The sequence below is a fragment of the Homo sapiens genome, chromosome 6 (assembly GCF_000001405.40).
Source record: "Homo sapiens chromosome 6, GRCh38.p14 Primary Assembly".
In the NCBI taxonomy this organism is placed as follows: Eukaryota; Metazoa; Chordata; class Mammalia; order Primates; family Hominidae; genus Homo; species Homo sapiens.
In genome coordinates this window covers 1,363,357-1,383,464 of record NC_000006.12, presented here as the reverse complement: position 1 = coordinate 1,383,464, position 20,108 = coordinate 1,363,357, and the positions used below count along the sequence as shown (strand labels likewise).

Below are 20,108 nucleotides of genomic sequence, written 5' to 3'. Positions count from 1 at the left end.
GGGCGCGCCCTAGATGAGTTTGGGCCCCCAGGCTGCCTCTCCAGGCCGAGCTGTGCCAGGGAACCTACGCCCCCTCCCCTTCATTTCCGTCGGAGTTTCTGACCCCAGGGCAGCCTCCTCCTCGTGGGGACCCAGAGTAGTTCAAGTTTGGAGCACGGAGGGCCCCGACTGCGTCTTTTCCCAGCCGAGGCTGAGGCCGAGGCTGCTGCTCCTCCAGAAGCCAGTCGGCTTTGCGGCCTCAGAGGACACCACTGGCCTGGGGCGTGGCCCTCGAGGCTCTCCGCCCGTCAGACCTGGGGTCGGCTTGAGCCAGGTGACCCTTTCCAGCACCCCTGCCTCCCAACTCCCGCCTCCACCTTGGGGGAGGTGGACAGGTTTTCTGTAGCGGCTTGGAAATCTATGCCAAGGTAAACCACATGCACGAGGGTGGTTGAGATGCAGGGTTCTACAGGGGCTGAAGGGAGATCCTCCTAGGGGAGCACGGTGGCTGGAGGCGTGTCCGCACCTCCACTCCCCTTCCTGCTCCCCTGACTCCAAGGCGCTGAGAGCCCACGGGCCTTTCTGCTGCCCTCCTTTCCCAAGAAATCGCCCCATGGCACCCACGCGGCCAGTCTGCAAGGCTTTGGGGGTCAAACGGCCCAGGCAAGGAGAAATCTCCATCTGCTCAGGGGGAGCTCATCCTCCCCTCACGCCCTGTGCCCCACACCGAGGACTGTGTTCCAGGCCTGGGGCCTCGGGGCTGCGCGGCGGGGGCTGGTCTCCAGCCGCCCCTTCTCTCCAGGGGGGTCTTTATTGATGAGCTGCCTCGAAAACCCCCACCCAGAACGTCCCAGAAGGGTTTAGACAATCCATCACCCACCACTTCAAGGATGCTTCCTCCCTTTCAAACACAATCCTCGCACACCAGACGGGCTGCGGTGGGGAGGGGCGCGCACTTGAAAAGAGAACAGCTACATAATCAACGTCAAAGCCGTCCCGCAACCTTTCGGAAACAGGGACTTGGGCCAAAAATCCCTCAGGATGATTTACGGGGGCCCCCTCGCCCTCTCCGCCTGCCTCCACGTGACTCTGGCCCGCGCCCGCACGGCAGCCGCACACCCTGCCCCGTGCCAGGCAGCCCCGGGCCCCTCCGCGGGGAGTTCGTGTTTTAGGAGAAAGTGCTTTTTTCTCTTGGGGCCCGGGGGAAAAGGGGTCTCGGCCTGGCCAGAGAGTGCTTTGGTGGCTTGGTCGCGGTATCCTCGTGGGTGAACTGCGAAGGCCGGGCCTGGCCTCTTGGAGTCGTCCCACGCAAGTCACCTTCCCTCCCGCCAGAGCCCCGGGATTGCGCGGTGCGGGCTGCGCCTCCCTCTCCCCTCCGCGCTGCGCCTCCCTCTCCCCTCCGCGCTGCGCCTCCCTCTCCCCTCCGCGCTGCGCCTCCCTCTCCCCTCCGCGCGGGAGCGGGAAGAAGCCGCAGTTCCTCCGGCTTCCGCGGGGTGGCGCCAGGCTCTCGGGAATCGCGGCCCGCGGGGCTGCCCGGCGCGGCCGTCACCTGCTCGCGGCTCCCGGCGCCCCGCGACCCGTGGCCCCGCAACCCCTGCAGCCGAGGCCGGCCGGTGTGTGACCCGCAGGCGGGCAGGCTTCTGCAGCATCGCCTGTCTCGCGCTCGGCTGGCCCGCTTAGGGCACGTCCCGCGTTCCCGCCCTACCCTACCCGGACCCGCAAGAAGAGGGGGCAGCCGAGTCGCGCGTGGGCACCTCTCCGCGGGACGCAAGCGTCTTTAGGCTTTGCTGAAGAAACGATCATTCAGTTCCGTTATTTGGTTCTCTGAAGCAAGGGACGGGGGCTCTGTGTCTTCATTTGTAAGTTGTCCCGGAGCTCCTGGAGGTGCCCTGCGGTTTGGTGGAAAACAAGCAAATCAACAAATCATCCCACCCGCCCGCCCTTGGAGAAGCTGGATTCGGCCGACTCTGCGCGGCGTCAGCATTCTGTCCCTGAGGAAGTACCTCGTCTTTCGGTGGCTACAGGGACAGAAAGACAGCGATTTTTAAAAATTGTGATTTTTCATTTCTTTTAGCTTCTTAAGAACACCCTTGCAGCTGTCTAAACTCGTCCTGGTAGAAGTCTGCAAGACAGGAAGGAGCTTGAGGGGTCGTTGTGGGGCCGGCTTGATACAAAGGGGAGGCACCAGGTGGATCGGGGCGTCTCAGCCGGGGCTGCAGGATCTTTTTATATTTGTTATTACGAAAAAAGTTTCATAGTATACCAACGTGGAGCGAGTATACGCTCTCATACGCCCATCACCTACATGTAACAGTTACCAAGGTTTTGCCACACTTGCTTCATTCATCTTTCTGTTTTCATTTCTTGCTGAAATATTTTAGAGGAAATCTAGACATCATGTTTTAAAAGCGCACTTTGTAACTCCTCTCCACATCTCCGGTTCTAGCTCTCATACCTAAGATTACATTTTGGCATATGCACGCACACCTTCCCATGAGGAATTTCAAAATAGGGCTGAGACATTGTTGTGGATGTGTATTTTACAAACAGAACTCTCCATTTCCCCAGGTGACTTACAGCTCTGAGTTTCTTGGCTTTCTTCTGGCTGCTGGATCTCCAGAAAGGCTGGCAAATGTTCCCTCCCCCACTCTCACTGCAGGCCGGGTACACGCAGTGGCTGTAAACGGTGAAAAGGAGTGCTGTTTCCTTCAGTCACCAGAGTTAATCCCAGGATGCCTTCCATATATGCCCGACAACATAATGTATCACAAGAGCACGTGTCCTTTGAAAATATCTGCAGGTATGCATTGTCCATGTGCACCGTACAACAGTTTCCAAATCATTTTTTTCCTGACAGTGGCTAGCTGTGGAAGAATTTTTCATATCATCTGAAAGTGCCTGAGGGAGAATTTCAGACTAGGCTGGAGAGGTGAAGGAGTCATGGGGAGTGGACCACGGAGCATGGGAGATAAGTTTGGCTTTATATCCAGCCCCCTGCCCCGAGGACTCCGTACACATATTTCACAAATAGTTGTTTATTGATTTATTTGTTGTTTTTGCCCCCCAACAATCCATGTTGTGCTCTTAGCATTTCCCTCACCCCCAACGCCACCCTGCACAGATGAGTGGCGATGCGGTGGTCACATTGCCCTCGTTTACAGTCTGAGAAGTGCACCTGCTCCTGATTACCTTAAGTCACTTAATAATGTTTCTGGGCTTGTTTCTGTTTTATGGTAAAATGGGGATCAGGAAAACAAAAGTAAGAAAAAATGATGCCCCCTCCCACAGTTATTATAAAGGTGAAATAACGGTTATAAAAAGGTATTAACATTCTGACATACACACATTTATAGTTATTTTTGGTTCAATCCAATAAAAACACTTTAGTTTTAAGGCACCCTCTAAGTTTCACGGTACTTGGGATCTCTCATTCCCTGGGTAATCTCTCATAGGCGGATTTGGGTTTGTCTTTAATGAGGAAAATATGGGTCCATTGTCTACAAGTGTGAGCCTGCCTATGAGGACCGGGGTCCCTGGTCTCCGGGTGTTTTCGGGCTGTGGGTTGGTTCTCTAGGGCTCCACTGCAAAGAGGGAGCTCTGGGAGAGGGAGAAGGAGAGGGGATGTTTCCCTTGGTTGGACCTCGAGGTTGGTTCCTCCAGGTATATCAGATTCCTTTGCAGCACTGGGGGTCCAGCCACAGACAGCCGGTCTGCATTCGAGGAGTCTTCTGCCCCCGAAATCCCATCCGGCAGAACGTGAAAGTGCAGTGGAAAGAAAACTCGACTGCGCAGCTCGCAAGGGCGCCTCGCGGGTTCCTAGCGGACGTGGCCGACCGCAAAGCCGCCACCGCGTTTGCTTATTTCAGGCGGGACTTTCTTTCTCTCCATCCTATGTTCCCTTTGCAAAAGATGCAGGCTCTGGGCCGCCCTGTGGGAGGCGGCGGGACAGCGGAGGACCCTCACCTTCCACGCGCGCCACAGCGTGGCAGGAGCCCGGCGGCCGGCGACTGTCTTCCCCCCGAGTACGCCAGGACACCAGGGGGCCCGGCACCCCTACTCTACCCTGTAGGCTCGCAGCCTGGCTCTGAAAGTGGAACCTGCAGTATGAAATACTAAGCACGTCAACGCTTTTCCCAGTTCATTTTTTTTTTTCTGTGCTTTCCACCCTCCCTCCTGCTCCAGAATACCCTGCACTTACCACCTACGTGATCTGGAACAAGTTACTTTGTTTCTGCACCTCGGTTTTTTGACTTCTACGATTGGGATCATTATAATGCCTAACAGTGTTGCTGGGAGGATTAAACGAATTAATACAAGCCAAGCTCTTAGAACCGCGTGCGGCACGTGGGAAGCGCTCTATAAACGTCGGCCCTGAAACTGACGGTGCAGAGTCCTCTGAACTCGGTCCCGCGTGGGCCGGCGCGCCCCTACGGCTTTCCCCGGGGTGGTTTCGGCCGTGGCCCGCAGAGCTTGGGGAGAATTGGGTCCCTGCGCCTGTCCCAGCCCCAACCAAACTCCTGTGCTTTCAGGATTTGGTTAAGAATTGAGTTAGGCACGGAGCAGGGAGAAAGTACGAAAAGTCGGGGCAGGACCCCGGAGCCGCCGGCTTAAGCCGGGAGCGCGGCGGAGCGAAGCAGGTGCACGCGGGCTGGAGCGCGTGGCTGCCGCGGCGCCGGCCGCAGCCGGGGTCCTGAGTGCTGTCGCCTGTCTAGTTCTCCAAGAGGGGCCTGGTGGGCGGTGTCGGACTCAGCGCTGCTTCTCCAGGCCCCGGCCGCGCCACCCCCGCCGGCTCCATGCCCCGAATTGCTGGGGGTGCGGAGTGCTTTCTGCAGCTGGGCGCAGTGGCGACCCCGGTGTGGGAGAACGCCTTCCGCGAGGGGTGGCACCGAGGGCGGCGTCTAGAAGCTGCAGGTGGAAAGCAGGGAGGCAATTTCTGTTTTAGCGTCTTCTCTTCCATGTCCGACCCTTAGCCAGGTTCTTCCCCGGGTGGGACTTGTCTCCAAATTTTGCTTGGAAAAAGCAGGCGGTAAACGGTCGCGTTTCGGCGGTCGTCTTTTGCTTCGAGGCCGGCGCGGGCCTCTCCAGGACTCGCGAGGCGGCACAGGGCAGGGAAGGGCAGGCTGACCTCACCGTGGGCGAGACCGGCCCCGGCAGCGGCGGCCGCCGGGCGCGAGGCGCGAAACCTCAGGCAGCGCAGCCGCCGCCGGGCACCGCGGGCTTGGACGGCCTTCAGAAAGGGGTCCGGACGCGGCCGCTCCGCCGAGCGAGGAGGGCGGAGAGGGAGGGGAAGTGACCTCTTGAACCTCATCAAACGCAAATGTTATAAGAAGCTTGTTAAGGAAAGAAAAGCGGAAGGGCAGGGAAATGGAGAAACGTGGAGTCCACCTGAGGCTTGAATGGCCTTTTTAGAGTTCCAGGCCCCTGGGATTTGCAGACTTCTCTGCGGTAGACCGACTATTGGTGATGGACTTTGCATTTTCCCGCAGGAGGGTGAAGCTGCCGGCCGACTTCCTCCAATATGCATATTTTACATATATAAACACCTTTGCAGTTTTATAGCCATTTAAATAAACCATTCACATAAACTCTTAACTCTTAAAACGATCCGCACAAAATAGCTTTTATCTCAGATCATTTTCACTCTTCTTTTAATTACTGGCTTTTGTAGCTTGGGTTTTACCTCCAGGCTGGTGGCCAAAGTGTTTTTACGTCCAACTAGGCCGTCTCTTCTACGGTACCTTAGTACCGCAGTAACTTTCCCTATCAACATGGACACAGACTAGAGTCAACCTTTAATTTTCTCAGTTGGATGGGTAATCTATTTTTGGGAGAAGCAAATGTCCCCTTCGTTTGGTCCTTGTTGGTTCTTCGTTAGCGAGGGAGAATGCCGGTGGGGCCTTCAGCAGCAGCATCCTAACAGTGTTGCAGCGGTGACTAGTTTTTGGCTTTAAAAAAGACAGACCCGTCGGGCGCGGTGGCTCACGCCTGTAATCCCGGCACTTTGGGAGGCCGAGGCGGGCGGATCACGAGGTCAGGGGTTCGAGAGCAGCCTGGCAACACAGTGAAACCCCGTCTCTACTAAAAACACAAAAATTAGCCAGCATGGTGGCGCGCGCCTGTAATCCCAGCTACTCGTGAGGCTGAGGCAGGAGAATCGCTTGAATCCGGGAGGCGGAGGTTGTGGTGATCCGAGATGCCACCACTGCACTCCAGCCTGGGCAACAGAGAGAGACTCCGTCTCGAAAAATAAACAAATAAATAAATATAAATAAAAAAATAAAAAAGACTGACTTGCTTGATGAGCCAGATATTCACCTATTTAGTCTTCAAGTCTCTAGACCTATTATAAAATATGTCAAGCACCTGAGAAGCTGTGAGCGGTTACCATATGTCAGCTTTTCATTCAGCAGAAGGGGAGGGGGGCTCCTAAAGTTTTTTTTCTCCCTTGAAAGGGAAGGCTGTTTGGGGACCCGAAAATATAAACAAAACCTCCAGAAACCCATGTTTTGGAACAAAATGGGTGTGGAAAGCTAAGCAGGCCAGTTGGGCAGACAGGATTTGGGGATGGAGGCTGAGGGAGGCAGGGGACTCTGTAGAACCTGTGGGTAGCCGTGCCTGTCTGAGTGAGGGGACAGAATGACAGTCTGTGCTGGTGGCAGAGAAAGGGACAAGCGAAAGAGGCAAGGAGTGGCAGATTCTCTTTAGGAGAATTTTCCATCTGGAAAGAAGGTTTATGCATCCATCACCCATCTCTGGTAAGATGCTTGGTGTAGGTGGAAGGGCGTATGTTGGCATTGGCCTGAGGGAATCTGCCTTACTGAGCTCGGCTAAAAAGGAATTTAATAAACTTCTTTTGTTTTGTGGTTTCTACCTATGGAAAACTTTTCTGCAGTTGGAGGGCTCTCAGAAGAGATCCAAGACAGGAAACCTTTCCATTTGTAAATCAGTTACAAAAAATATGCAGTTGAGTTAAGCATTTTATGGCAATAGGAATTTAATAAAAAGGGAAAGAATATAGCTGTATAGAGTAGGTAAGCATGACTGGAGAATAAATTTATTCTTTTTGTTTGTTTCATTTTGTTTTTATTTGCTAACACCAGAATGTGTAATTTCATAGCAATGGAAAAATAATAAGCAATTTTGGGTGTCTCAAATTCATTATAATGTATTCCTGAACCCTTTCTAACTAGGATATTATTTTGAGGCCAAAACTGATTGATGTCTAGACTTTGGATGTCTCTACAAAGTGAGAATTGGAGCTGGCAGTGTCATAACACCACTTGAAAACATTTCTTCTGGCCTTTATTATTTGCACTTTTTCTTCAAGTTTTCATTCACTTTTCTAATTTTTTAAAACTCTCCTAGCACAATGACATAGCGCAATTCACTTTTATACCTTGAGTTAAAAGTGGAATTTCAATTGATGAAAATAGAGGAAATAAGGTTACTCAAATAATGCCAAGGAGTTCATATGCATCATTCAAGTTACCTTCAAGACTGCCATTTAAATGACTTCTTTTTTTTTTTAAGTAAGATTAATATATTTGTCTTTATAGTAACACCTTCAAAAATATGCGATTTTTAATATTTTGGGGATGAAGTGACCCATGAAGGCATAAGTGCCTTGGTCCATGAGAGTCATCATGAAGCCATGATTTATTTTTTGTTTTTCTTTATATAAATATAATCACATTACAAAAGTAGGATTCTTTCCCCATCTTTCCTTAGCCTATTTTTCTTATGTAACAAAATATCATAAATATTAACTAGTTTTTAAAGTTTTAAATATTACTTTGAGAATTTAATTTATTTTTAAAGATTCTAAATTTATTTTTCTTTTTATGTGATAACCTGCACAGCGTTTACTTGCTATTCACTGTTTTTTCTAGAAAACATAAACAACTTGGCAAATCTCCTATTAATCTTTTAAAGAGGAAGAGGTAGAAGTCACCCTTGCTCTTTGGAACTGAGAAAAGTGGAGTCATGGAAGATTGAAAGTCAACCCTAAGGCCAATGCAGTTTGACATTGTCATTAATCATGGGGAATTTGGAAAGAGGGCAGTATGCTGGAAGATAGGATATGAATGTAAATATCTTGCTACATCTGGAGAATTTTGCAGATGTTTGGTTCTTTGGTTTGCCTGACATTTCTTCTTTCTACTGGTGAGAGCATCTTCGTATCCTTAGAGAGAACTCTGTTTCTCCCATTCAGTGTTGTCCTAGTGTAGCCACACTGCTATGACACCCTAGACGTAGAGAGTCATGTGACCTATGCATGTCTATTCTACCTGTCCTCTGGCCACAGTACTTGGCCAAGTCTAGGCACAGGGTCACCCTCTGTCACATAGAGTGTTTCCCTGGGATTGTTAGTAAAGGCAATGAGAGAGAGGCTCACTCTTTTCCCTCTGGGATTATGAGCATTAAGGATACACACTTGGAACTGTGCATGGCCACATCATCACTCCTCTGGTTTCTAGGTGAAGCTCATGTACAATGGAAGACACTGGGGCCAGTGTACAGGAGGGAGCAGAGGACACAGACACGGGGTACTGACAACATTTTTGGAGGCTGGGGCTGACCTAGGCCCAGGAGTTCTCATTTTATCATCCAATTCCTTAGTCCCACAAATATTTTTTAAGCGCCTACTTGGCCAGGCACTGGTCTAAGTGCTGGGGAAACATTCAGAGAAAACAGTCAAGGTCTCCACTTTCAAAGCTTAAATTTGGGGGATTGGATAGACAACAAGCAAATATGCAAAAGCTTTCAGATAGAGAGAAGTGGTATGGGGACGGCAGTACCTAAGCAAGAAAGTCAGTCCATGATCATGGTAAATGAGGGTGATGTGATAGACAAATGGACATTGGGGGTGATCAGGAAAGCCTTCTCTGGGAAGACATTGGTCTGAGACTTGAGAATGGAGAGGAGCTAGCTATGGGAAGGTCAGAGGCAGAGGGAGCAGGACATGCAAAGGCCCTAAGAAATGCCATTGGGACATTCAAAGGACATCAGAGGACCAGAGAGCCTCCCCCATTGCCCTTCTCCACTCTAGATGCTGGTTGTTCAGAAAGAGAGAGTGTTGATACACAGTGACCATGTCTGACTCTTGGGCTCTTCTTTTCCTAGGCAGTCACCCCTGAAATACCCACCATTCTGTTACAGCCACAGTCGCTTGCTATGCTTTCCACAGCACCTGACTGTCTCCATTTCGACATGAGCCACTCAAATTTAAGTGGCACCCATTTGTAGATATGTTGACTTTTTCCGTTTCAGACACAGTCACATTATTGCTAAACTCTGTAGCCCCTGAAATCTGGCCATAGCATTAGTATACATATGCGACAGATTGGAGGAAATTCTTATAAAGTTTGGCAGTATCCAAACCGTGCTAGATAATGCATCCATGTCTGGAATTCAGCATCCTGGGGAAGGACCTGGAACCTTGCGTGATACAGAAGAGAACTGTGACTGATTAAAGGGACAAAGGAGGGCACTTATGATGAAAGCTTACAGGGTTGAGAAGCATTAGGTTTTGAGAAGGCTGAAGAGGGATTTTAGTTGTTGTCTGAGTTGGTGAAAGATTCATACCTCCCAAATCCAAAGTGGCTTGTTGAATTTTTAACCCACAGTGAAAGAGAATGAAGAGTATCAGGTAGGATGCTTTAGGCTGCAAGCAACAGAAATCCTTGCTTATGGAGGCAGGAACGCTAAGTCATCATCTCACGTAGCAGGAAGTCTTGGAGTTGGGCAAGTTTTGGAGTGGGTTGTGTTAGCAGCTCAGTGGTATCACAAAGGACTCAAATTCTTTCTAATTTTCTACTTTGATGGTTATAGAATCCATTTCATCCTAGAACTCATTTATGTTCTGGTTGTAAGATAGTGTCAGTGAAAGTATGTGATTTTGTTGTTTATATCCAAAAGGTTATAAATAGAAAAAAATTATATCCTTTATCAGTGGCATGAAGGTTCTCCTGTCTTTATTTTTTGGGGCCAGTTTAGATCCATGCTTCTCCCTGGACAAGCAACAGTCTCCAGGGAAAAGACACTTATAGATTACCTATGCCAATCATAGGCAAGTGCGGTGGAGCTGACTTGGGCTACTCAGGATGCTCCTGTGAAGGGGGGAATGGGGTTAACCTCCCCTAAATCACACGGTCTTAGGGTCTAACATGTCTCATGGGATTAATAAATGGAATCTGAGTCTTTAGGAAGGAAGGAGCATGCATCCATGCATGTCAAATAGACAGTGGTGGGTTGATATATTAGCATGAGGCATTTAGGGTGGAGATAAGGAAGAGTAATCTAATATAGATGACCTTGAATGTCAGAAAAACTCAGCATAAGAGGATGTGAAATCTCTTTCTTTAAGATGTTAGGATCCTATTTGTCTGAAATTATACGTCTGAAGTCTGATCCTGTCTGAACATGAGGGCCCAGTGGGGTAGGAGTAAAGGAGATTGCCTCCTAAAATTGCCATTAGAATTCCCTGTGGTGCTGGTTATACACAGATTCTAGAGCCTTACCTAAGAGATTGAGATGCAGTAGTTTTGGGTGAGGTCTAGGGCACTCTATTTTTAAACAGTGATTCATATGAGGCTGATGTAGCCTGTCAGCTGAACTCAATTTGGAAACCAGTGGTAATGAATACAGACTAGGCATATTTTTTTGAGCACATAAGAAATGCTCAAAAAAGTTGACCATGTACTAGGCTACAAAGGAATCTCAATAAATTCCAAAGAATTAACATGATATGAACTACCTTTACTCATCACAGTGCAATAAATTTAGATGCTTATTACAAGGACATAAAAATAACAGCCTAAAAACACATTTGGGAGCACTCCTCCTCCATCAAAAAGCCCCCAAATTATGAAATAACAATTGAGTTAACAAGCTTATCACAAGGGAAATTAAGAGCTGCTGACACAGAAAACACATCATGTCAAAGTGCAGCTAAAGCCTTACTTCAAGGGAAATTTATAGCTTTGAAACCAATGATCAGAAATTAAGAAAAATTGATGACAAAGAAGCTAATATTAAATTCAGAAGGTAGAACAAAGACAGCAGAACAAACCCAAAGAAACAATGTGTTAATCTGAGTTCCTACTTAAAAGCAACAGAGCCCATACTGGCTAGATTCAGCAGAAAATTTACTTATTAAAGGACAAAGATGCTCTGATTCTTTAGGAGGACCATAGAGTCAGTTTTCAAGTCTGCATCACCAGGAATAACACCAAACTTGACCACAAAACAGCTGCAGAAATATCCCTCTATAGTCATTGCCACCACCAAGCACCATGAACACTGGCTGTCAGTGCCAGGGCCCCTAAGCTCACCCTGGCCAGCATGGAGATTCCACATGCCAGGGATGGTGCCTGCCTCCTCATGCTGCTTTCTTTCGAGCAGATGTCTCACATGGATGGGTCTGATTGGCAGAGTCTAGGTTGCATGTGTGAATTCTAATTGCAGGAGGTTGGGAAGGTGAGTTTCTGGGTTCCACTTTGGGAGACAGAACTCTTTATGTAGAAAATTCCCAAGACAGTGGGGAGGTGGTAGGGGTGCGTGGCTAATGTCTTCTGCATTCAAGAAGGAAGGATGTAATAAAGATAAGGACAGAAATAAATGACATGGATAACCTCCCTCTGTATTATTGAGATAATTATTTACAAAACCAAAAGATTTTTTGAAAAGAATCCTTAGATACACCTCTGTGAGACTTAACAAAAGTGTGTTATTACACACATGCACACACAGGAAATTGACAGAGGATTTATAATTTATAACTAGGAATTCTTTACTCAGAATTCAAAGTGCTGGTATAGAGACAGTGACTGGGCAAATCTGCCGTAGATGCCTGCCCTTGGCTGTTCTGGGGAGAAGAAAGGCTCTGCCGCCCTGGTTTCTGGGTGGGCCGGCACTGCCTTCCTACGACTGCACACAATAGGAAGTACCTCGGTGGGGTCATCAACAAGTAGCAAGTATCCAGTACCTGGAGTGTGAGTTATGTCATTGATTTATGTGCTTTCCAATATGTCATTACTATAAAAAAGCTTCGATAAACATCTTTGTCATCTTTTTGTTTCTTAGACATGAAATTACTGGATCAACAGATGTGAATGATTTTAAGGCTTTTGATTAAACTGTCAAATTTCTTTCTCCAACAATGGTAACAATTTCCAGCCTCGCTAGCCCTGATATGAGAGGACCCAACTCCCTGCATCCTTTCCGGCTTTGATTATTTCATAACAGAGGTAGTATCTCATTGTTGTTTTAGTTTAAATTTTTAAGAATGCCCAAGGATAAGCAATCATCTATATATAATCTAAGCTAATATTCACAACATTTTATAAGGTAGATATCATAATCTCCATCTCACAAATGAAAAAATTGAAGGTTAAAAAAGATGAAACTACCTTCTCTCAGTCCTTTAGTCAGGAGAGGATGTAGATTTAAATCCTGGTTTTTGTGACTCTAAAGCCCTTGTTCTTAACTACAACCTTTGTTCACAGAAGATAGGTATATTTGACTAAATACATAGATGAAAATATCTGAAGATCAAAAACAGATGTAGCTGGAGTTTCCCAAAGAGTGTTCCAAGGAACATGAGACTTTTAATATTCTCTGGGACAAAAATCAATTCAATGTTGAAAAAGTTGGGAAACACTGGATAACATTTCCCCTCTTGGAGACTCGTAGCAAATGTTGGGATATTTAAGGCCTTGAGAAGTCTTACAGCAAAGAAACGGTTTGACTCTATTTAACATTCCAGAAAAGTAGTGTTCCAAAGAATATGTTTTGGGAGGTTCTGCCAAGAACTGTGCCTCTTATTTTTCTTTCATGTATTATTGCATTGGCCCAGACAGTGGTAAATGATATTGGTGACAGTAGGTATTTTATTGTCCCTTGATTTGATGAGAATGTTCCTAATATTTCATCGTTAAGTATTATTTTGGCTGCTAGTTTAAGATAGACACAGATATTATTTATTATCTCAAATAAGAATACTTTATTTCCTATTTTCTTGCTTAAAGAAGCAGAAATGGATGATGAATATGAAGGAATCAGCTTATCAAACAAAGGGGAAAATCCAGTGGTAGGCTATTCGTTCAGTAAATAGACAGTATTTTTGATGGACTAGGGATAATTTCCAATGCTCCTTCAAAAACACTGCTGATGGCTGGGGAAAAGCACTTGCATTTTCTCCCAGAAGGGTAGTATTTTTTATCAAAGATGGGGATCTCACTCTGCCCGCCGGGTTGGAGTGCAGTCACACAATCATAAATCACTGCATCCTCAAAATCCTGGGCTCAAGTGATCCTCCTGCCTCAGCCTCTTAAGTTGCCAAGATTACTGGTGTGTGCAATCATGCCTGTCTTAGAAGGGTGGTATTTGGATGTCTTTGTCACTGATATGGTTTGGCTGTATCCCCACCCAAATCTCATCTTGAATTCCCACATGTTGTGGGAGGGACCTGGTGTGAGGCAATTGAATTGTGGGGGCAAGTCCTTCTTGTGCTGTTCTCCTGATAGTGAATAAGTCTCACGAGATCTGATGGCTTCATAAGGGGGAGTTTCCCTGCACAAGTGCTGTCTCTTTGCCTGTTGCCATCCATGTAAGATGTGACTTGCTCCTCCTTGTCTTCTGCCATGATTGCAAGGCTTCCCCCACCATGTGGAACTGTAAGTCCATTAAACCTCTTTCTTTGTAAATTGCCCAGTCTTGGGTGTGTCTTTATCAGCAGCATGAAAATGGACTAATACAGTCAGCTTTACTTTAGGCTGGAGAATAGGGGTGGCATTTCTTTTTTCATCATTCATTCAGCAAATATGTTTTGAGTGCCTGCGGGGTGCCAGGCCCAGTTTTGGGTTCTGTGTCTCTAACACACTGCATGGTGGTGCCTAATAGATAATGTTAGTTGAAACCAAGTTTTAAAGAGTTGGCCTTGATGAGGGGCTATTTGCCTGCTCCCATACCAAGAGGACTAATAATGTGGGGATGTTCTGCCTCTGCTCCCTTCCTTTCTTACCCTTCTCTCTCCTCCTCCCCCTTCTCACCTTAGCCATGTTGAGTGTCTGCTGGGCACAGCCATGGGGCTGTGGAAAAGCATCTTTCCCTTAAAGATGTACCCTTCAACTTGGGCCAACCCTGGCTTAGATATGGCATAAGTACTCAAAATAGAACGAGCCCAGGAGTTTTTACTACTCTGGACACAGGACTTTGCTTTCAGCCAGAAAAGTCCTTGGAGATGGACTTGGTGGTCCTTGGGGGGAACTGCCCAATGAATGATTGCATTGAAGCTTTGGAAACCATTTTTTCTCCAACAATTTCCTTGTCTACAAGTTTATGAGGCAGTAAATAGCCCCTGTGTGCGTAATGAATTCTGACATCATAGTCCACGGCACTTAAAAACAGCGGGCTGGCCTGCGCTTTTATTGGCAGCACAGCCTGAGGCGGAAAACTACCCCAGCTCGTCCCAGTATTCTATTATAGACCTTACTATAAAACCTCCTCTGGCGTTCCCAGTCGTCAGCAAAGATGCTTTTTCAGGGTGCAAGTAATTTCCTCTCCCCATTCCTTGAGGACTGTCAGAATGCGATGCAGTCAGATTATGCAAAGCCTGGGTCGTCCTCAGTTTTTTGACCGTGGGTGCAAAACATGGTTTTCAGGAGACCTGGGTAGTCATCTACAGAGGGTGACAGAATATGAGCAAGTTTCTCAGATCTCTGTGGCAACGCCTGGTGACTTCTACCTTCCTTCTCGCCATTCGTCCTGACCTGGAACCTGTGAAGTTTTGGCAATTTCATTTGAGTGAGTGAAGCAAATATATTGAAAAATAGGTGAGGGAGGAGGGGCTGGAAATTGAGGATGAAGTATTAGTTCTTCATGTGTCTCCTTTGGTCAAGTTGAAAAGATTTCAAAGAAACTAAGACAGAAAAGTAATAATTTTCCTGTGAGTGGAGAAAACTTCATTTTAGAAGCAATAGTAAGGAAGGCACAGAGAGGGCTTGTGTGTTCTGATTTTTACCATGGAGGTTCGTTTTCCTGTCCCTGAGGGTCCCTGGCACATGGATGGAGAGAGCTGATGATGGGTTACAGTTTATGACAGTGAGTCTTATTGGTATCTATGAGGCATTCACGATCCATCTGGCTTAATTGTTATAACTTAAGGGGGATCGGGGGATTGTTTTATGGCTCCACTGCACGGGGTGGACCATCGGTCACAAAATGTCTAACAATTACCAATGAACTGCTTACAATATAAGCATTGGTTTATTGTGGATTGAGCATAAATTTTCCTTTTTTCTCTTCTCCAACTCGAGAGAGCTTCTCATTTAAAATATTATCCAGAAGGTCCGTGTTTCAATTCCAAGATTGTACTGTCTTCCTCTTAAACTAGAAGATGTGGCTGGGCAGGGCGGCTCATGCCTGCAAATCCCGGCACTTTGGGAGGCTGAGCGGGGAGGATCACTCGAGTCCAGGAGTCTGAGACAAGCCTGGGCAACATGGCCACATCCCGTCTCTACAAAGCATTTAAAAAAGCCGGGCGTGATGGCGTGTGTCTGTAGTCCCAGCTACTTGGGAGGCTGAGGTAAGAAGATCACTTGAGCCTGGACAGTTGAGGCTGCTGTGAGCCAAGGTTGTGCCACTGTACTCCAGCCTGGGTGGCAGAGACCCTGTCTCAAAAATAAATGAGAAATAAATGAATAAAAGAGAAATAAAATGGAAGATGTCTGCCCTAGGGTCCATCCTTTAAGGAGACTGCTGTGAGTGGAGGATCACCCTTTAAGGAGACCTCGGTGAGGTGTGGATGGGTGGTAGGTTACTCAGGACACACTTTCATCAGAAGTGGAAGGGATGGGGATGGGCATTGGAACCTTGGGATGCTCTCTCCCTGCAGTGGATTGAGCATCTGTGGGTTGGCCTGGGCTGGGCCCTGTCTTGTGCGCCTGGTCTTCTCAGAGATGAAACTTCTAGGGTGAGGGGTCACTGGTGTTGGGCTGCCACCACCCACAGGACAGCCTGGAGGGGTCTGCTCCCTCTTTTGGTCTTTAGTATTTGGCAACTGATGACACAGCCAATGCTTTTTCATCTAGTCATCTCTGTTCTCTGGACACTGTCACTTTTGCTTCAGATCTCTCTCGTGTAAAAAGCTTCTTTAAAAAACTCTTAGGTTTTCCTGTTTTGATTTTGAGAGAACACTGCTTCTTCAGGCTTGTTATTCCAAGGCCTAGATCTGGCTTCCTTACTTTGGTATAGATATTAATACCTTGATGAAAGTTTGCTAATTTCCTTATTTAATTTTATTTATTTTTAGGGACGGTATCCCTCTATCACCCAGGCTGGAGTGCAGTGGCACGATCCTAGCTCACCTCAGCCTCAACCTCCTAGGCTCAAGTGATTCTCCTGCCTCAGCCTCATGAGTAGCTGGGGACTCCAAGTGTGCACAACCCTGCCCAGATAATCTTTAATTTTTTTTTTGTAGAGATGGGGGCCTTACTATGCTGCCCAGGCTGGTCTTGAATTCCTGGCCTCAAGTGATCCCTCTGTCTTGGCCTCTGAAAGTACTAGGGTTACAGGCGTAAGCCACCATGCTTTGCTATTTTCCTTATTTTAAAAAAATTCCTCTGTCCCTGGGACAAAGAGAGAAGTAAAACAAACAAACAAGTCAAAGTTTTTGTGCTTTTCTAGGTCATCACAATTTGAATGTGGAAACAAAATTCTGAAATACTTTTTGTTTTGAATGAAATTCAGAATGGAGGGGCATCTTGCATCTGCCTTTTCATACAGCCAAAGGAGGGTTCTAGGAAAAGTCCACACATGCTTGATTTTTGCCTCCGTTTTTATCTGGATCTTTGCCTTCTGTGGTCTGCACTATGAGCTATGACAGTCTTCTTTCTCTGAGGTGTCTCCTTACTTGGGAAGGGCCTGCAAGCTCCATAATAGTTTTCTTTGCATGATTTCCTGCAGTGGTTGAGCATGTAGCAAACAATCTCGATGCTCCCCTATGCTTTTGAGGTGAAATTTAACTCGAGGTTCGTCTGTGTCCTGGAGACCGGTTGCTCTGCGTTAGCTGTGTGTGTGGCATTCCCTGCACTTCAGAGCCACGGTGCTGAGCTGTCTTCCATAGTGACTTACATAGCACAGGTAAATTACCCAACAGGACTTCAGAACCAGAGCAGACCCATGAAGGCAGGGATTTGAAATACCTGGGCTTTTGACTTAGTTCCTGAGATAGGAAAGCCTTCTTTTTCCTTTGCGAGTTTCTTTTCCCTTTTACTTTTTCCAAGTTTCATTGTTGCCGAATAGGTTATCTGTAGGTCAGTGGGTTTACGGGTTGTTTGGATTTCCTAAAATTGTGTTTTTCCCTAAATGTGGCACGAGAGATTGTTTGCAGGCTGCTGTGTGAATGGGATGGCCTACTGTGGCCGACACAATGCTGCTATTTCTGTTTTTCTCTGTTGCCCCCAGTGAAGGTATTTTAAGGCTCCCGGTATTTAAGAAGACTAAAACCAGCAGAGAAAAATCCTGGACTTCTTCAGTTTCCTGCCAATTCTGCAGAGTTCAGAACAACTTTTATTTATTTATTTTTTAAAGGAATTTTTTCCATGACATTCAAGAAGCCAGCTACATTTTGCAATACTTTTCTTTCTGATGAATAATTTTCCAGATACAGCGTGCGGATGAATTTTGGTTTAGATACGCAGGCCGTATAACTCCAGATGCAAATGCAGATGTTTATGAGTTCATGGAATGGAAGATATAAATGTCCTGACTTTGCTGTATGCCTTGAGAAGCATCCCTTTTTCTATTTAGAGAGGGAGAGAAAAAAAACCAACAACCCAGATTTGCTTAGTTTCCTGCTTTAAACATTTACGCTTTAAAGGAGCTTATTTACATAATAAATGATATTGCTCGAGAGCATATGTGGGGAAATTTTGACCAAAAACTCTTTTCCTTTAATCTGCACATGCCGTGGTTTGTGGAAGTGTGTGTTCACATGCAGAATCACTTATCAGTATGGAAGGCTTGAGGCCATGGACAGCACAGTTTAAGATAAACTTGACTCAGCAACATGGGAAAGTATTATTCATTCTGAAAATCATACTTCAAAAGTTTATTTAGTTCTCTTACCTTAACAGAGGTAAAGACATTAAGTAAATTCGTAGAATTATTTTGAGTTACCACTCAGAAAATAATTTAAAACTTAATAACTGCATCGTGTAACAGTCTTTGGATCCAATTATTTGGGATACTTTGTATGAGAATAAATGACTGTTTCTTGCTATAAAATATAGAATGGAGTCACTTGAATAGGATTCTTAGGTTGTAATATTTTTATGTTTGTGATGCTGATGGATCTACAAGTGAACATTCATAAAACTTTCATCTTTTCAACAAATATTTATGGAACCATTGCTACATGCCAGAAATATTTGCCAAGGCCTGTTGATTCATGGGTGAACAAGGCTGATAATGTTTGCTGCCCAGTCTTCCCTGAGAAAATGTAAGAGAACACTGAAGGATACAGGAAAGATAATGTTAGGGGTTGGATTTGGCCTCCCCAGAGCTCATATGTTGAAGCCCTAACCTTCAGGACCTCAGGATGTGACGGTATTTAGAGATAGAGTCTTAAAAGAGGCAATTAAGTTAAAATGAGGCCTTTGGGTGAGCCCTAATCCAATTTAGACGCTGTCCTTAAAAGGAGAAGAAATGAGGACACAGACACACTAAGAGGGAAGGTCATTTGAAGACACAGAGAGAAGACGCCATCTGCAAGCCAAGGAGAGGAGCACCAGGAGAAACCAACCCTGCCCACCTCTTGGTATCAGACTTCCAGCCTCCAGGACTGTGAGAGGATAAATGCTTGTTGTCTAAGCCCCCAGTGTCTGATATTTGTTACGGAAGCCGGAGCACACGAATCCAGATAGAAAGCTGGCTAATAAGATAGAAAGAGGAATACTGCTTAAGGAGACTGGGTGGAATGACTGCTCACTGTCCTATGCCAATAAATTGCAGAATTTTAAAAAAGTATGTGTAGAGTAAATGCTAATGCTTGATGACTGTGCCTATAATAAGTGACGCAGACATGTTACTACTGCTTTTCTGCTATGCCTGTTAATATTAGTATTTGCAAAACTCCTGAAGCATGGGGATGACGCCATCTGCTGGACCGTATCCTGCTCCCACGCGTGAGGGCAGAGGGTACAGGAGGTGCTTGATATTGATTCTACACTAAATCATTCTTAAAACTTCAGGAGTCTGTCGTGAGCCATGGGAAGTTGTTTTCAAGTAAGGGGAAATGGAAGTTTTGTATTATGAACACCGTCCACATCATCTCTTTTATCTGGGAAGAAGCTGAGGTTCTGCTTTGCAGTCACATTTTTGTCCATCGTAAGTGGATAAATGTGGTTTGCATCATTCAGTGCCTTGGGAATGTCTTACGGGATATTTCTGGAATGGGCAAAGTTCAGCACAGTCTGGAGCCAAAATGTCCCCATTATTGAGCCAATATAGTTCAAATGTTTATGACCCATCTCCAGAATGGCGTGCACATGTGAAGGGTTGTCAGTGAGGTGGAACATGTCCCCAGGAACGGAGAGAAAGCTGCGGAGAAGCAAGCGTGCCATGTGGCTGCCTCGAATGTCCTTTCTGGTTTGGAAGCCTGCAGCTGCAGAAGGCCTGTGAGTGTGGAGGAGGCTCTTCCTGGTAAAAACGCACCTCCCAACCCTGGTTGGAAGCCCCAAGGCTGTGGGAAAGCCCAGGCTCCCTGGGCCTTGATTTTTTTTTTTTTTTTTCTTCCTGGATTCTGCCTTCAAGATCAAAGGAAGTCATCTAGAGTAGTGTTCTCATGATGTGGTGTGTGGATCCCTGGGGTCTCCATGACCCTCTCAGGGGTCTGTGAGGTTGAAACTATTTCATAATAATACTAAGACAGTATTTCCTCTTTTCACCATCACTCTCACAAGAGAGTGCCCTAGGGTTTTCCAGAGGCTACGATACATGGCGTGTGAAGATATTGCACAATGGCTGGTGAAACATGGGCTTGTGTGTTCTTATGTCCTCCAGAACCTTCTCAGTTAGTAGGGTTGATGTGTTCGGGGCACATTTTCAGAGATGAACTCAGCTTGTTC

At 46.5% G+C, this 20,108-nt stretch overlaps 1 long non-coding RNA gene across 2 annotated transcripts in view, besides 3 other annotated features; it reads left to right on the top strand.

The window, feature by feature from the left end:
• FOXF2-DT (FOXF2 divergent transcript) overlaps window positions 1-20,108 on the top strand; it is a 67,585-nt gene that overhangs the window by 7,595 nt on the left and 39,882 nt on the right. The window contains exons 2-3 of one of the 2 annotated variants that reach the window (NR_199825.1): window positions 2,548-2,779; window positions 3,661-5,580. The exons of the other annotated variant lie outside the window; for it this stretch is intronic. This is a non-coding gene — a long non-coding RNA (FOXF2 divergent transcript). Of the gene's footprint in view, window positions 1-2,547; window positions 2,780-3,660; window positions 5,581-20,108 lie in introns of those variants that run through there. 2 annotated transcript variants of the gene reach the window in all.
• Window positions 1,368-1,417: a silencer, noted in NCBI's record as "silent region_16820". NCBI's record gives its function as "represses an Ori minimal core promoter by ATAC-STARR-seq in GM12878 lymphoblastoid cells {active_cell/tissue: GM12878}" and the evidence as "EXISTENCE:reporter gene assay evidence [ECO:0000049][PMID:35858748]".
• Window positions 1,528-1,627: a silencer, noted in NCBI's record as "silent region_16819". NCBI's record gives its function as "represses an Ori minimal core promoter by ATAC-STARR-seq in GM12878 lymphoblastoid cells {active_cell/tissue: GM12878}" and the evidence as "EXISTENCE:reporter gene assay evidence [ECO:0000049][PMID:35858748]".
• Window positions 4,891-5,404: an enhancer, noted in NCBI's record as "H3K27ac-H3K4me1 hESC enhancer chr6:1378296-1378809 (GRCh37/hg19 assembly coordinates)". NCBI's record gives its function as "activates a minimal SCP1, AML or CMV promoter by ChIP-STARR-seq in naive H9 embryonic stem cells {active_cell/tissue: H9 hESC(naive)}" and the evidence as "EXISTENCE:reporter gene assay evidence [ECO:0000049][PMID:30033119]".